We start from the raw sequence: 18,464 nt of genomic DNA, 5'->3' as shown, positions 1-18,464 counted from the left end.
GTAGTTTAGGAGTGAAACTGCACTGACGGGGGTCCCCAGTGTGTGACAGAATCACTTAAAGAATCAAACAACTGACAGTTCCTTTCAAATCAGTGACAAGAGTTTACATTCCATTTTTATGTCTTATGTGCCTTGTTGGCCTGGAACACAGAGTTGTTGTTATTTATTTATTTTTATTACATATCCTTCAGGCATTCTAGCAATCAAGGGGATATTACAAGATAAGATCAAAAATCTTTATGCTCTTAATCCATAAACAGCTAAAATATGCATTTGGATTTTAGGGTTATAATGAAGGAGAGAAAACACTCTCCATCAGAATAGGGAAATCCAGGGCCAAAAGTTAGAGAGGTATCTAAGCTAGTTATAAAAGCCAGTCTTGGTAGGGAAAAATCATTTATTTACACATTCTTGCTAAAAATCTATTTGTTGAAAGCCTATGTTGTCATATTCTATGAGTTGTCATATCTATTACCATTGCCTCCCTTTTTCTCTCACATTTCGTTTGCAAAACATTAAAAAATGTTTTTGCTTCTAATTTTAACATACATCCAGAAGCTGACAATTAAGCTCCACATCCTCTGTTACCATGCTTGTCCAACCCACCATCATTTCTTACTCAGACTACTATATTCACCTCCTCACATTCTTCCCACTCACCTCCTACAGTTCCTCAAAACAATCCTTCTGCTTTTGAAATATGATCATGTTCTACTTCAAATTTACAAAGAAAAAACAAACAAAAATATTTACATGATATTAATTTTACATTCCCCTTAGTTACTCTTATATCTTGGTACCTTTTTTTCCCTTTTCTTTTCTTTCTTTTTTGTCTAATTTTTTGAACGCTTCAACAGAGAATTTTTAAGGGGAATTTTCTCTACTCATGATGTCCAGTTCTTGACCTCTGTTTCACTTCCCCAACTCCAGCTTGGCGTCTTCCCATGTTATCATACTCAAATGGCTGTGTCTCCATCTCCATCATATTTGTCATCATTGCAGCATTTGATATGCTGACGTCTTCCTCATGTTTAGATCATTTCTTTAACTTGGTTTCTCTGACTTATGCTCTGCTGGCTTGCTTTCTACTTTGCTGGCAACTTGTTCTTGAGTTTTTATCTCTATTCCTTCCCCGGACATTGTTTAAACTTATCTGCAGATTTTATAGGAACTTCTACTGTTACTCATCTAATAACCCCTCTCTAGGAAATCTCATCCTGTTCCATGGCTTTTAAAGCCAGAGATATCTTGAAAACAGTCAACTTTGTGTAGATTTCTATCACTGACTTCTGGAGACTCCAGACTTATATATCCAACCACCTAAGCAACCTCTGTTTAGAGGAATCTCAAATTTAAGATATTCAAAGTGGAGCTCTTAGTTTTTCTTTCAAATTTCATATGCTTCCAATCTTCACCCTTTAGTAAACAGTCCACCTGTTTAAAACTATACTTAGCTGCTCAAGGCAAAAACTTAGGAATTGCCCTTGTTTTCTTTCCATATTCTTAAAAAAATTGTTACTTTTCTCCATCTCTATTGGAATTTCAATATTGATTTTTATTTTTCCATTATACTAAGCAATTTTAAGTGTCAAAATACTGGTATTTCAGTTTGCATAAAATCTTTATTTTGGGCATTTTCCTGCAAATGTTTGGCACTGTATATTTTTCTTACTCTCCCCTTTCCTGCCTTCTCTTATCCTTATTCAGGACACCTGTATCTCAAGTTCCCCCAGCCTCTCTTTACTCCACAATTCTTACAATATCCATGACAGTATCTCGTTATCTCTCTTCCCGCACCAGCTGCCAAATAAAAAGGTTTTGTTGAGGGGCTGGGCGTGGTGGCTCACGCCTGTAATTCCAGCACTTTGGGAGGCTGAGGTGGGTGGATCATGATGTCAGGAGATGGAGACCATCCTGACTAACATGGTGAAACCCCATCTCTACTAAAAATACAAAAAAATTAGCCGGGCATGGTGGCACGCGCCTGTAGTCTCAGCTACTCGGGAGGCTGAGGCAGGAGAATTGCTCGAACCCAGGAGGCAGAGGTTTCAGTGAGCCAAGATCACGCCACTGCACTCCAGCCTGGGCGACAGAGCAAGATTCTGTCTCAAAAAAAAAAAAAAAAAAGGTTTTGTTGAGTCATGTAAAAAGAGTACTCTAAAATAAGCAGATGTCTGGTGGAGAGGAGAAGAGGTAAATCATGAGATGGGCTCTGCTGGTGTTAGCAGGGGTTTAAATTTGCTGTCCAAGAAAAAGCTATCCCAACCTCCCTCCAGAGAACCATCAAAAAGATACACGGGCCTAAGATAAAAGATCAACTAAACGTCTCGTAAAGCCTCTAAACAGGGCAGGAAAGCCTGGGCCAACGTGGAGATGTTACATCAAAGGCAGCAGCAGCTCAGTGATCCTCACACACAGTGGGCTGAAGTTAAAAAAAGCAGAGTCATCAGTGGTTCACAATTTACATTATAATTGTAATTTATTATTTGCATGTATAGTTATATTAGTTTATGCTTTGTTTGATATTTCATGTTTACCATATCTTTATTTGAAATATAGTAAATATTTATTTCTATACATATTTGGAAAAAATATATTCTGAACAACTTTTTCTTAATGCTAGCATCCCTGGTGTTGTGGCACTTTTCAGAATAAACCCTAGCATGGTCAAGATGATTGGCATTAGCCTTCTTCTTTAATCATCTCAAACCATTGTTCCCTTTGCTTACTATAGTCTTTCTGTGTTTGCCTCCTTTTCATTTCTTACTCTAAACTCTTTCCTGCCATAGCCTTTGCATTTGCTATTCCCTTTGTCTGGAATGTTCTTGCCATGACTCTGCATAGTGGCTTTACTGACACATATCTACAACACATAATTTGTACAGAGATCTAAATATTTTTTCCAGATTTACATTCAATGACCTTTGTATAACAGATATTTCTATTATATCAAGTACTGTGTTATCTACTTGGAAATATTGTCCTATCTTAACTTTGCCACTTGTCAATTAATTAATATCATTGCCATTTGAGGAGTGGAGGAATTTCAGAGTGGCTTAGTGATTGCACAAAGTCATACAGCTAATAAACAACAATGCCAGGGTTTGAACCCAGGGTTTCTGAGTTTGGATCTCTTTTGCATTAATCTCTGACATCACTCATGCTTTTGCCTTTCTGTATCCAGCAGTCTCTTCTTATCTATTTTTATTATTATCAATGGTAGTTTTTGAAATTGTACTCTGTGTAACTGATGCTTTTATGCTTTATTTGACTTGTATAATCATTGCTGTCCTCTTTTTTTTCCACTTTCCCCTCCCACTGCATTCACTGAATTTCTCTTCCGCTTACATAGAGGCCTGTTCATCTCTGCTCATGATGTTTATCTTCCTCTGGATGATCCTTCCTCCTCTATACCTGAAGTTCATCTCTCAAGGACTGGCTATACCCTCACTAGCCCAGTGAATCTCTCCGTAAATCATTCTTCTGTAAAACTCTCTTCCTTCATTGTTTAGATAGTGTGTGGATGCACTGCATACAATATGACACATCTTGTATTACTCACCTTAATTTTTCTGCTCATTAACTTTCCCCTATACTCAAGAATATTAGAAAAATATTATGAGGATAGGAAGCTCATTTTATACTTCTGTAAACATGTGCCATTCCTTCTATTCCAATGTTAGAGACATAGTATTTGTTTTATATTCATGTACACTTGACTGATAATAGCCATTAACTTTTAAGTTGATATTAACATGTAAATGTGTATGTTTGAATTTTCTTTCTACTCATATATCTTTTCTTCAAATATATTTAAAGCATAATGATTTATGAACATCAATATACTTTCTAAATATTTATAGGAAGGAATTTGTGACTTGAACTAACATGTGTATTCACTATAGAAAACATATTCCCAAGATCACCTTTGATTCATTTTCTATTAGTATATTTCTTCAAGGCAAAATTACTGTTTTCATATTCTAAATATACATGTGCTTTACTTCAGATCCTTCTTTGGAAGCAGTATTTTTCTGCTTTTAGTGGTTTAGAATGTTGAATACATGAATACTGAATAATCAGGGTAGAACTTATTGAATTATATGTTGAAATTAATTAAAGAACTTAAATATGCACATTTACAACACTTCCAAATTATTGCATTTTGCATGTTATTGATGGTGATTTCCTCTGAAATTGTAAAATCATGACTACATTTGTCTGGCTTATTCCCATCTTGTTATTCAGGCAGACAGCATTTATAAAGCATTTACCACTACTAAAGAAGATATTGATTTTAAAGCTGCCCCTTCAAAGTCATCCCCTTGTATTATGACAGTGTTTGTGTACCAATTTGCTGCACTTCTATAGTTTCACAACATGTTCATGTTTCACGTTCCATCAACGCCATTTTCTATCTACAATCCAGCACACTACCTATCAAGATACATATATTATTGCTTTTGTTATTTTCATTTCTATACACAAAAATATCAAGCCTAAGTATGCTTGAGGGAAAACTAATTACTTCATATAATTAATTACTTTTCCACAACAGCAACTGTGACAATTACTCATTCTAAGAAACTCTAATCACGTTACAAAAACTTGTTCCAGTTACTTAGCTCCCAACGCAGGCAGGAATATTGCAACCAGGTTGGTCTGTGGTGAGACCTGCTTCACTGTGTCATATTGACACGGTTGCCACCATCCTGGATTTCCCTGATTTCTGAAGGTAAATACAGGTCAGATGTTAGCCCAGATGTCAACTGCTAGGTATCCATAAGTCCTCTGGTTTTAGGAATTTTCCTTTTACTTTAACGTATTAAATAAAATGGATTGAAGACTCACCCCACAGAGGGTGGAATGTTGAAATTCTCCTACCTCCACCACGTGCCCCCTAAGAGCTCACTAGGGGTTTAATGTTTCATTATTATACCTTGTCCCAAAGTCCCAGTTTCCCAGAATTCCTAATTTTACCCATGAACAATTTCTTTTCCTCTTCTTAATCTGAAAATGACACAAACATGGAACATTGTACCTTTGCCTTGACTTCTACAAAATGCCATTTACATAAAGTGATTGTATATGGTGGTCTTTTTTTTTTTTTTTTTTTTTTTTGAGAAGGAGTCTTGCTCTGTCGCCCAGGCTGGAGTGCAGTGGCGCTATCTTGGCTCACGGCAAGCTCTGCCTCCTGGGTTCACGCCATTCTCCTGCCTCAGCCTCCTGAGTAGCTGGGACTATAGGCGTCCGCCAATAGGCCCAGCTAATTTTTTGTGTGTTTTAGTAGAGACGGGGTTTCACCGTGTTAGCCAGGATGGTATCCATCTCCTGACATCGTGATCCGCCCGCCTCGGCCTCCCAAAGTGCCGGGATTACAGGCGTGAGCCACTGCGCCCGGCCGGTGGTCTTAAACTATGGATTTTGGGCTCACAGTGGAGAAGGTATAGCAGTCTTAGGACTTTCTCACTGGCCACATATTTTCCTAAGGTTCTTGTTCTCTTGTTATGCTGTTCCTCTTTGCTTCTTCCTTCTCTAGATCAGCTCCAAGAAAATAAAAATGTTTCCACTTTATTAAGCAGAACCATTCTGCTCCTAATGTCACTCAGCATGAACCCATTTTGACCCAACTATTAAAGCACTCTTTTGAAAACCTAGATAATCCTTCAAAGTGTTTTGCTAGCAAATGGCATTTATTTTGTTTAAGAGAGAACTCTGCTACTAGTTTTTAAGCTGATCATTACTTTTAAAAAAATTCTCAGCAATTTTCCTTTATCAAATCTTTATACTACTTGCAAATGACCCCCATCTTCATAACATATCCTCACTCCCACACACATCTTTCAAATTCTGAGTGGTGTTTGGAAAGAAGAAACGTACCATCTAATGCAGCCACACATATGATTCCCTGGGCAGATTACCAGAAGAAAATGGATCCTCGTTAGTAGCAAACAGCATCAAACTGTAGGTTTTTCTCTCAGGTATCCTGTAATTGAATCTGGTTGCTCTTCTTTTCAGGGAACTAGCTCCCATAGCAGATACCTGCTATTGAATTTGTCGCTCCTTTATGGGAGACACTGTGTCTTTAAGTCAGTTTACCTTGTGCATTGTTTTGTTTAGATCCTCCACATGTATACTTTCTTCCAAAGAAAGCTCATTCTCTATATAATGGTAGCAAATAGAGCTTTGTTTCCATGTTCTATTCTATGAGGAGATCCTGTGCAGTATAGAGTAGGCAGCTTCTATAGCCGCTTCTCTCTCTGTTGTCAGAGACAGGATATCCAGCGGATTACCCATACTGCAAAACCTCTTCATTTCTGAGTTGCTCTTTCTTAGTAGCCAACATGACTTCATTGCAATATGACCTGGTTTTCAACATATGGCATAAACTTCATAAATGGTTAACTGATCCTCACTCGCACACACATTACGAATTGTTAACTGAATTCTGATTTAACTTTACTTGCCTGGAAAAAAGTTGATTAATGATACTCTTGCCAATTACTAGACTATTGTTGATGATTCTCTGCCTAGGTGCATTAACGTTCCTGGATAAGCTTACATATCTAGCACTTTATGGTGCCCTGAGTTAGAGTTTTTTACTTTATTTTGGTGACTATGTTAAAATATTATGTCTTGTTGGACAGATTTATTAGATGAGTGGCCCTTCCTTAAAACTTTAAATAAAGTCAGTCAAAATATGGATAATCATCACTATAAGCCACATATATTTTGTGAACATATATTACATAGAGAGACATCTACTATACAATGGAGAATCAACTATGATATAGGGTATAGTATCTTCCCTCCAGAAGTTTACAGTATAGTCGTAATATTAATAAGAAAAATAACTGGCTTTAATTTACTGCTTATTATGTTTCAGGTATTGTACTAATTTATTGAAAAGTATTATCTCATTTTATCTGTATAAGATGATAAGGCAAAGACTGCGGGCATTTCAGGCTAGAGAACATGATATGCAGAAAGGTACCATGGTTAAAACAGATTTGGCACATTAAAAAGAAAACGAATAAACTACTTTAATTAGAGCATTTTTTATTTAGAGAAAGGGTAAAACATGCTCAGAGAGGGTCCTTTAGCCATTATGCTGAGTTATGTCCGTTATTATGCTGAGTTATGTCAGTTATTATGCTGAGAAGTTTGAGATTTATCATCTCACCAATGGTTAGCACAAATGTTTTCATTATATTTGATTGAGCTTGTGGGATGATGGTAATAGAGCTAAGACTGGATTGAAGTGGGTTAATCAGTCAGCAGATTTCAGGATGGGTTGAAAGAGAAAAAAATAAAAACTGATTGCACAGAAACCAGAAAGAAATTAGCAGACTAGACATGAGGCCATTTGGAACGGGATTTAATTAAATGAATGAAATACATGATATGAGATATATATCAAGAAAGGAATAAATGATATGATATATTATAATAGAAGAAATAAACTAACACGGTAGCTGACTGAATTCAGAGGAAGAAAAATAGGAAGGAAGGAAAGAAAGAACAATTTATTTTACAAGAAAATCCTGACTTTGTCATTGCCATTCACCTGCTTCACCACGGAAATTTTAAATTCAGTAATTTCCTTGGATATATCAGTGGTTTGCAATCGTCCAAATTCTTTATGAATTACAAAATGTTTCAGATATTATCTCCATGCTCTCAAACATGACTAACTCTCCAGCCTTTACTCCTCACATCTTCATTCCAGTGTCTACGATCCCATTTAACTTTGTGCTAAAGTAGTTGTTCTCAAACCTTTTGATATTAGGGCCCATTTACAGTTGGAAAATAATGGAAGTCTTGAAAGAACTTTGTTTAGGTGAGTTATATCTATCTGTATTTTTACTATATTAGAAATCAATACTGAAAAAATAAAATTATGTATTAAATGATCTTAAAATAACTATGAAAATCCCACTATAAGTTAACCTAAATATATATATTTTTTTAAATAACCATATTTTTCAAGACAAAATGTAAAGCCTGTAAGAAGAGTGGCATTGTTATAAGTTTTGTAAAACTGAATTTAGCTTAATAGAAAACAGCTAGATCCTCCTACCTTTTTTCATTCAACCAGTTGTAGTTTTGTTCTTTTTGAAGCAGCTAAAGAAAACCCTGCTCTCACACATATGTAGTCAAAAAAGAGAGAAGAATTGTAATAACCTTTTCAGATAATTATGAATATTCTTCTTTGATACTATACCAAAACTCAAGTTTCTTAAAGGCTAGTTGTAATGAGTAATCTGAAATCACCTGAGTGAACTTTTCATACTGTAAAATTAAAATCCTTTCATCTGTCTTATAGATTAGATCTTTTATCCATGTGTGATTTTGTAACACTGTGTGTTTGGTCATTTGGAAAATATGTGTCCACTGAATTGCACAAATCCTTAACAATCAGGTAAGTCTCTAAGAATTGGGAAATGGTCTAGCTCATGAAGTTGGATACAAGTCTTCAAAAATTTTAGTTTTTACACAAAAGCTTGAATGTTGCCATTGGCAACAGATCTTGTTAGTTGTTTCCCTTGCAGCAACAGGCCTACTCAGTTCACTTTTAAGAAAATATCCACCAAGTATGCAAGCCTGAATAACAGTTTGTCTGTTGTTCTTTCTTTCAAGTAAAAACAGTGTTTCATGAAAAAGCAGCTGCTGCTAGTTTGTTTCACAGTTCAAACAACTACACAATCTCAAATGAAAGCAGAATGCTTTTCCCTGAGGCAGCCACTGTACTTCTGCATGCGTGAAGCAGAAGTGCTTTGTGTATGCCTCCTGTTTGTCACACAAATTACTAACATATGTGTATTTAAGGGTTTTATTTAATAATATTAATATTTTTGTTGTTTCATGGGAGATATTATTGAGTGAGACAAGATTTAATATTTTATTTAATACAGTTGCTAGTGCCATGTGTAAGCCATGGCTCCCGAATTTTCTCACCATTGCTTTTGCTCCATTAGTAACAATGTCAAGAGAATAAAGCAGGCCAATAACATTATTGTATTATAAGGAAAATAGTTTTAACACCATGGACACTCTGGAGCATCTCCAAGGTCCTTCTGTCTGTGGCCAACAGCATGAGAAGCTCTGCACTAAGGATATAACAGTAATCAGGGCCAGTGTGAATAAGTATGGTGAGCTAGGAGAAAAGCCATGCAATTATTTTTCAAGTAGGAGAATACAGAGCTAATTTTAATACTCTGAGTGTTATGTCCCGGTAATGTACTATATACTTTGTCCCCCAAAAGGGAACAACGTTGAACAATTTAAATATTCAATTTTAAAGTTAATACTTTCAAATTGAAAAATTAGTTTGAAGAACCCAGCATAAAGAACATTTGGTAGAGAAATCACATCCTCCTTAATCCCTTTGATCCCAGTAAAAAATTATCTGATCTATTTCATGAGATTAATTTTATAATGATGGCTGTTACTTACAGTCAATAATAAATAAACACAATGAAAATCTTTGAGAGGGTGGAGCCAAGATGGCCGAATACAAACAGCTCCAGTCTACAGCTCCCAGCTTGAGCCATGCAGAAGATGGGTGATTTCTGCATTTCCAACTGAGGTACCGAGTTCATCTCACTGGGGAGTGCAAGACAGTAGGTGCAGGACTGTGGGTGCAGCACACCATGCATGAGCCAAAGCAGGGTGAGGCATCCCCTCACCCGGGAAGCACAAGGGGTCAAGGAATTCCCTTTCCTAGTCAAAGAAAGGGGTGACAGACGGCACCTGGAAAATCAGGTCACTCCCACCCTAATACTGCACTTTTCCAACGGGCTTAACAAACGGCACACCAGGAGATTATATCCCGCGCATGGCTCAGAGAGTCCTACACCCACGGAGCCTCGCTCATTGCTAGCACAGCAGTCTGAGATCTAACTGCAAGGAGGCAGCGAGGCTGGGGGAGGGGCACCCACCATTGCTCAGGCTTGAGTAGGTAAACAAAGCGGATGGGAAGCTCAAACTGGGTGGAGCCCACCACAGCTCAAGGAGGCCTGCCTGCCTTTGTAGGCTCCACCTCTGGGGGTAGGGCACAGACAAACAAAAAGACAGCAGTAACCTCTGCAGACTTAAATGTCCCTGTCTGACAGCTTTGAAGAGAGTAGTGGTACTCCCAGCACACAGCTTGAGATCTGAGAATGGGCAGACAGCCTCCTCAAGTGGGTCCCTGACCCCCAAGTAGCCTAACTGGGAGGCACCCCCAATTAGGGGCAGACTAACACCTCACACGGCCGGGTACTCCTCTGAGACAAAACTTCCAGAGGAACGATCAGGCAGCAGCATTTACGGTTCACCAATATCTGCTGTTCTGCAGCCAGCGCTGCTGATACCCAGGCAAACAGGGTCTAGAGTGGACCTCCAGTAAACTCCAACAGACCTGAAGCTGAGAGTCCTGACTGTTAGAAGGAAAACTAACAAACAGAGAGGACATCCACACCAAAAACCCATCTGTACGTCACCATCATCAAAAACCAAAGGTAGATAAAACCACAAAGATGGGGAAAAAACAAAGCAGAAAAACCAGAAACTCTAAAAATCAGAGTGCCTCTCCTCCTCCAAAGGAACACAGCTCCTCACCAGCAATGGAACAAAGCTGGACAGGGAATGACTTTGACGAGTTGAGAGAGGAAGGCTTCAGAAGATCAAACTACTCTGAGCTAAAGGAGGAAGTCTGAACCAATGGCAAAGAAGTTAAAAACTTTGAAAAAAATTAGACAAATGGCTAACTAGAATAACCAATGCAGAGAAGTTCTTAAAGGACCTGATGGAGCTGAAAAGCATGGCATGAGAACTATGTGTGAATGCACAAGCCTCAGTAACCGATGAGATCAACTGGAAGAAAGGGTATCAGCGATGGAAGACGAAATGAATGAAATGAAGCATGAAGAGAAGTTGAGAGAAAAAAGAATAAAAAGAAATGAACAAAGCCTCCAAGAAATATGGCACTATGTGAAAAGACAAAATCTATGTCTAATTGGTGTACCTGAAAGTGACGGGGAGAATGGAGCCAAGTTGGAAAACACTCTGCAGGATATTATCCAGGAGAACTTCTCCAACCTAGCAAGGCAGGCCAACATTCAAATTCAGGAAATAAAGAGAATGGCACAAAGATACTCCTCGAGAAGAGCAACTCCAAGACACATAATTGTCAGATTCATCAAAGTTGAAATGAAGGAAAAAATGTTAAGGGCAGCCAGAGAGAAAGGTCGGGTTACCCACAAATGGAAGCCCATCAGACTAACAGCTGATCTCTCGGCAGAAACTCTACAAGCAAGAAGAGAGTGGGGGCCAATATTCAACATTCTTAAAGAAAAGAATTTTCAACCCAGAATTTCATATCCAGCCAAATTAAGCTTCATAAGTGAAGGAGAAATAAAATACTTTACAGACAAGCAAATGTTGAGAGATTTTGTCACCACCAGGCCTGCCCTAAAAGAGCTCCTGAAGGAAGTACTAAACATGGAAAGGAACAACTGGTACCAGCCACTGCAAAAACATGCCAAATTGTAAAGACCATCAAGGCTAGGAAGCAACTGCATCAACTAACGAGCAAAATAACCAGCTAACATCATAATGACAGGATCAAATTCACATATAACAATAATAACCTTAAATGTAAATGGGCTAAATGCTCCAATTAAAAGGCACAGACTGGAAAATTGGATAAAGAAAATACAGTGTGCTGTATTCAGGAAACCCATCTCATGTGCTGAGACACACATAGTCTCAAAATAAAGGGATAGAGGACGATCTACCAAGCAAATGGAAAACAAAAAAAGGCAGGGGTTGCAATCCTAGTCTCGGATAAAACGGACTTTAAACCAACAAAGATCAAAAGAGACAAAGAAGGCCATTACATAACGGTAAAGGGATCAATTCAACAAGAAGAGCTAACTATCCTAAATATATATGCACCCAATACAGGAGCACCCAGATTCATAAAGCAAGTCCTTAGTGACCTACAAAGAGACTTAGACTCCCACACAATAATAATGGGAGACTTTAACACCCCACTGTCAACATTAGACAGATCAACGAGACAGAAAGTTAACAAGGATACCCAGGAATTGAACTCAGCTCTGCACCAAGCGGACCTAATAGACATCTACAGAACTCTCCACCCCAAATCAACAGAATATACATTCTTTTCAGCACCACACCACACCTACTCCAAAATTGACCACATAGTTGGAAGTAAAGCTCTCCTCAGCAAATGTAAAAGAACAGAAATTATAACAAACTGTCTCTCAGACCACAGTGCAATCAAAGTAGAACTCAGGATTAAGAAACTCACTCAAAACTGCTCAACTACATGGAAACTGAACAACCTGCTCCTGAATGACTACTGGGTACATAATGAAATGAAGGCAGAAATAAAGATGTTCTTTGAAACCAACGAGAACAAAGACACAACATACCAGAATCTCTGGGACATATTCAAAGCAGTGTGTAGAGGGAAATTTATAGCACTAAATGCCCACAAGAGAAAGCAGGAAAGATCTAAAATTGACACCCTAACATCACAATTAAAAGAACTAGAGAAGCAAGAGCAAACACATTCAAAAGCTAGCAGAAGGCAAGAAATAACTAAGATCAGAGCAGAACTGAAGGAAATAAAGACACAAAAAAACCCTTGAAAAAATCAATGAATCCAGGAGCTGGTTTTTTGAAAAGATCAACAAAATTGATAGACCGTTAGCAAGACTAATAAAGAAGAAAAGAGAGAAGAATCAAATAGATGCAATAAAAAATGACAAAGGGGATATCACCACCGACCCCACAGAACTACAAACTACCATCAGAGAATACTATAAACACGTCTACGCAAATAAACTAGAAAATCTAGAAGAAATGGATAAATTCCTCGGCACATACACCCTCCCAAGACTAAACCAGGAAGAAGTTGAATATCTGAATAGACCAATAGCAGGCTCTGAAATTGAGGCAATAATTAATAGATTACCAACCAAAAAAAGTCCAGGACCAGATGGATTCACAGTCAAATTCTACCAGAGGTACAAGGAAGAGCTGGTACCATTCCTTCTGAAACTATTCCAGTTAATAGAAAAAGAGGGAATCCTCCCTAACTCATTTTATGAGGCCAGCATCATCCTGATACCAAAGCCGAGCAGAGACACAACAAAAAAAGAGAATTTTAGACCAATATCTTTGATGAACATTGATGCAAAAATCCTCACTAAAATACTGGCAAACTGAATCCAGCAACACATCAAAAAGCTTATCCACCATGATCAAGTGGGCTTCATCCCTGGGATGCAAGGCTGGTTCAACATACCCAAATCAATAAATGTAATCCAGCGTCTAAACAGAACCAAAGACAAAAACCACATGATTATCTCAATAGATACAGAAAAGGCCTTTGACAAAATTCAACAACCTTCATGCTAAAAACTCTCAATAAATTAGATATTGATGGGACGTATCTCAAAATAGTAAGAGCTATCTATGACAAACCCACAGCCAATATCATACTGAATGGGCAAAAACTGGAAGCATTCTCTTTGAAAACTGGCACAAGACAGGGATGCCCTCTCTCACCACTCCTATTCAACATAGTGTTGGAAGTTCTGGCCAGGGCAGTCAGGCAGGAGAAGGGAATAAAGGGCATTCAATTAGGAAAAAAGGAAGTCAAATTGTCCCTGTTTGCAGATGACATCATTGTATATCTAGAAAACCCCATCGTCTCAGCCCAAAATCTCCTTAAGCTCATAAGCAACTTCAGCAAAGTCTCAGGATACAAAATCAATGTGCAAAAATCACAAGCATTCTTATACACCAATAACAGACAAACAGAGAGCCAAATCATGAGTGAACTCCCATTCACAATTGCTTCAAAGAGAATAAAATACCTAGGAATCCAACTTACAAGGGATGTGAAGGACCTCTTCAAGGAGGACTACAAACCACTGCTCAATGAAATAAAAGAGGATACAAACCAATGGAAGAACATTCCATGCTCATGGGTAGGAAGAATCAATATCATGAAAATGGCCATTCTGCCCAAGGTAATTTATACATTCAATGCCATCCCCATCAAGCTACCAATGACTTTCTTCACAGAATTGGAAAAAACTACTTTAAAGTTCATATGGAACCAAAAAAGAGCCCACATCGCCAAGTCAATCCTAAGCCAAAAGAACAAAGCTGGAGGCATCACGCTACCTGACTTCAAACTATACTACAAGGCTACAGTAACCAAAACAGCATGGTACTGGTACCAAAACAGGATATAGACCAATGGAACAGAACAGAGCCCTCAGAAATAATGCCGCATATCTACAACTATCTGATCTTTGACAAACCTGACAAAAACAAGCAATGGGGAAAGGATTCCCTATTTAATAAATGGTGCTGGGGAAACTGGCTAGCCATATGTAGAAAGCTGAAACTGGATCCCTTCCTTACACCTTATACAAAAATTAACTCAAGATGGATTAAAGACTTACATGGTTAGACCTAAAACCATAAAAACCCTAGAAGAAAACCTAGGCAATACCATTCAGGACATAGGCATGGGCAAGGACTTCATGTCTAAAACACCAAAAGCAATGGCGACAAAAGCCAAAATTGACAAATGGGATCTAATTAAACTAAAGAGCTTCTGCACAGCAAAAGAAACCACTATCAGAATGAACAGGCAACCTACAGAATGGGAGAAAATTTTTGCAACCTACTCATCTGACAAAGGGCTAATATCCAGAATCTACAATGAACTCAAACAAATTTACAAGAAAAAGACAAACAACCCCATCAAAAAGTGGGCGAAGGACATGAACAGACACTTCTCAAAAGAAGACATTTATGCAGCCAAAAAACACATGAAAAAATGCTCATGATCACTGGCCATCAGAGAAATGCAAATCAAAACCACAGTGAGATACCATCTGACACCAGTTAGAATGGCGATCATTAAAAAGTCAGGAAACAACAGGTGCTGGAGAGGATGTGGAGAAATAGGAACACTTTTACACTGTTGGTGGGACTGTAAACTAGTTCAACCATTGTGGAAGTCATTGTGGCGATTCCTCAGGGATCTAGAACTAGAAATACCATTTGACCCAACTATCCCATTACTGGGTATATACCCAAAGGATTATAAATCATGCTGCCATAAAGACACATGCACACGTATGTTTATTGTGGCACTAGTCACAATAGCAAAGACTTGGAACCAAGCCAAATGTCCAACAATGATAGACTGGATTAAGAAAATGTGGCACATATACACCATGGAATACTATGCAGCCATGAAAAAGGATGAGTTCACATCCTTTGTAGGGACATGGATGAAACTGGAAACCATCATTCTCAGCAAACTATCGCACGGAGAAAAAACCAAACACCGCATGTTCTCACTCATAGATGGGAATTGAACAATGAGAACACATGGACACTGGAAGGGGAACATCACACACCAGGGACTGTTGTGGGGTGGGGGGAGGGGGGAGGGATAGCATTAGGAGATATACCTAATGCTAAACGACGAGTTAATGGGTGCAGCACACCAACATGGCACATGTATACATATGTAACAAACCTGCACGTTGTGCACATGTACCCTAAAACTTAAAGTATAATAATAATAATAATAATAAAAGAAAATCTTTGAGAATTAATTCCTCACTATAAAGATCTGCACAAATGCAGAATCATCTTTAAACATTTTAGAAGCAATAACTAAAGAACTGTCCAAACTTTGTTTTCAATATATATGTCTATGGTAATTACCTTGTGATAGTCCCACAAACTCTTTTAAACACTGTATTTTTTATTTTATTACTCTAGAAATAAATTTTTAATGATCGGGCTCAATGGAAAAATAATCATCTGTCACACATTATTTTTAATTAAATGAAAATCATGACATCCTACAGCAAACTACAATATTAGCATAAGTTACAGCAAATTGCTTCATAGAAACATAAATGTCATAACTCTGTACGTTAATCTAGTAAAAACATCTATTTGTCCTGGACTCCATGCTTTCTCTAAACATTAAGATTAATCATTGGTAGAATCACTAGTCATGTACTCTCAATTTATTTTCCTAAATGTGAAGAGCCCATTTAGAGCATATGGTTGTAGAATATGAGTGCTTGAGGCAAAGGGAGAGGGATGGGGGCAAGAATCTCTGTAATGTGTCAAAGGACACAAGCAGGCAGAGCTACAACTCTATGTGAAAAGTGCTGGACATTTCTCCCTGCTTTAATGCACTAATGCAATCTTTTTTTCTCTCTACCTATTCAAATACCCTCAATCCTTCAACCTCCCTCTTAAGCCCTGTCTTTTCCTGAAGTCTTTTGGTGTGAATTATTTAACAATTGTGCCACAAAAAGTCCAATAAAGACCTCTACCGAAACTTTGATTAATAAAAGAAATTCATAATACCATAGAAATCCCTCAACATTTTTTCCCTTTATTGTGGTTCAAATTTGATTACTCAGTCCAAAGATTTGTGCTGTGGTCTGAATGTTTGTGTCCCTCCAAAATGCATATACCCTCAAATCTTAATCCCCCAAGGTGATAGTATGAAGAGATGAGAACTTTGGGGAGGTGATTAGGTCATGAGGGTGAAACCCTTAAGAATAGGATTAGTACCCTTATAAAAGAGGCCCCAGAGAGCTGCCCTGCTCCTTCCAACAAGTGATGAGGGTACACTGAGAAGGCACCATCTATGACAAAACACACCCTCCCCAAACACCAAATCTGCAGGCAACTGGATTTTGGACTTCCCACCTTCCAGAAATATAAGAAATAAACTTCCATTGTTTATAAGCCACCCAGTTTATGGTATTTTGTTATAGCAGCCCAAATGGATTAAGAGAGTCTGTTACCTCTATGAATTAAGACTGAAGGGTTGCCTTTTTCTCTGGTTTATCTACAGTGTCTGTCCTGGACATTGCCTTACTCAGAGTAGTATTCATTACATTTTTACTGAAAGAAAAACATCAATGAAAGGCTACCAAAAGGGTTATATGTCAATAAGGAGAAAATATCCAAGTATATGTAATGCATTTATAATAGGGACTAAAACACTTTCTATTTCTCCAATTACTGCTTTAAACACCTCCTGCCAGATTTCCCTTTCTCTGCCATAGATGAGGTTCTTGATGGGTCTTCAGCATTCCATATACCTTAAGGTATTAAAACAAAGCTTGTTTTGGCAATTAAGACTCATTTTGAGAATACTAATATATCCAGCTCTGCCTAGACAAAAAATTCAATCTCTCATTCCTCCACTCTCTTCTCCTCACAGATCAGGCTTGCCGTGGTGCTTCGGAACCTGTGGTAGGGAAAAAGCGGTTATTTGTTTCTATTTTTGTTTTGATCTTTATTTGTCTCCCTTCTCTTCTCCTGAAAAATCCTTCCAATGTTGCTGGAATATACAGGCCACAAGTTTTAGCTGAATGGTGCAGCTGTGATGTGGCCACCGGGGCCCTCTGTGTGGTAGTTGTCCAAGTACGGATTCTCTAGTGGGTTGCCCCTATTGGTTCTTTGGAAGTTCCTTCTAATCTGCCATGCTGCTTAGTTCTAAGACACAGAAATCTACTCTCTAACTGATGTCTTATGCTGGTGCTCTTCTCCCAGCTCCACCCCTGGGGAGACTACCTTCCTCTTTCTTCTGAAGTCACCTCCTCCTGTCTGGTGGCATTGGCTAGAATCCATCAATAAGGGTCATGCCTGGCTACTTATGAAGCATCAACTTCTGTCCCACAGAAGGTTCATGAACCTTTGCTCTTCCAAATGCTGGGATTCAGTATGTACTCTACCACCTTTTAATTTTATTTTGCTCCAAGAGTAGCTTTTATCAACTTACTTTGGAAAACAGAATCTAGTTTCTATGCTCTTACGCTGCCATGTTAGCGACCCTCAAAATCCACAGGAAGCACGTCAGCCTTTCTCAAGATTGTTTTAGCATGTTCTTAACAAATCTGAGTTTCTGTCACTTAGTAAACATTTAGATGTAGAGTAAAAGGCATATCTTTCCTCTCTGCAGACACTCCAATGACCACAAGCAGTTCCTCTGGTACCTATTCCGAGGTAAAGAAAATCATCACTTTTTCCTTTCTCTGAGTGAGGGGAAAAGAAATCTCAGACCACTGCCAACAGCATCATTTAGCCTGGTGACTTCTTTTTCACTTCTCTTAACTTTCTTTAAGTATCAAATTTTCTGAATATTTAAGGGGGATTCTATTTTACATATTTTAGTAAATATTATATAGACACGTCTAACACCATTTCTTCAAAAATTGAGATACTTAAGGTCTGTTGTTCCCAAGTTTGAGACTTTATAATAAAAGATATGAGATTATTGGAAAACAACATTAGAATATGTAAGAAGATTCAAATAATGTAGCCTAACCCATTTTGTTACAGAGAAGGAAATAATGACTTCTCCAAAGTCCCACAATTCATGG

At 38.0% G+C, this 18,464-nt stretch overlaps 1 protein-coding gene across 12 annotated transcripts in view, besides 1 other annotated feature; it reads right to left on the bottom strand.

The window, feature by feature from the left end:
* The window catches only part of CNTN5 (contactin 5), a 1,337,937-nt gene that overhangs the window by 765,421 nt on the left and 554,052 nt on the right, over positions 1-18,464 (bottom strand). The window lies entirely within an intron of this gene.
* Positions 9,580-9,703: a silencer, noted in NCBI's record as "fragment chr11:99454493-99454616 (GRCh37/hg19 assembly coordinates)". NCBI's record gives its function as "represses an EF-1alpha promoter that drives an FKBP-Casp9 reporter gene in an ReSE screen in K562 erythroleukemia cells {active_cell/tissue: K562}" and the evidence as "EXISTENCE:reporter gene assay evidence [ECO:0000049][PMID:32094911]".

This window comes from Homo sapiens, chromosome 11, assembly GCF_000001405.40.
Source record: "Homo sapiens chromosome 11, GRCh38.p14 Primary Assembly".
Taxonomy (NCBI): Eukaryota; Metazoa; Chordata; class Mammalia; order Primates; family Hominidae; genus Homo; species Homo sapiens.
This window is presented reverse-complemented; position numbering and strand designations above follow the sequence as displayed.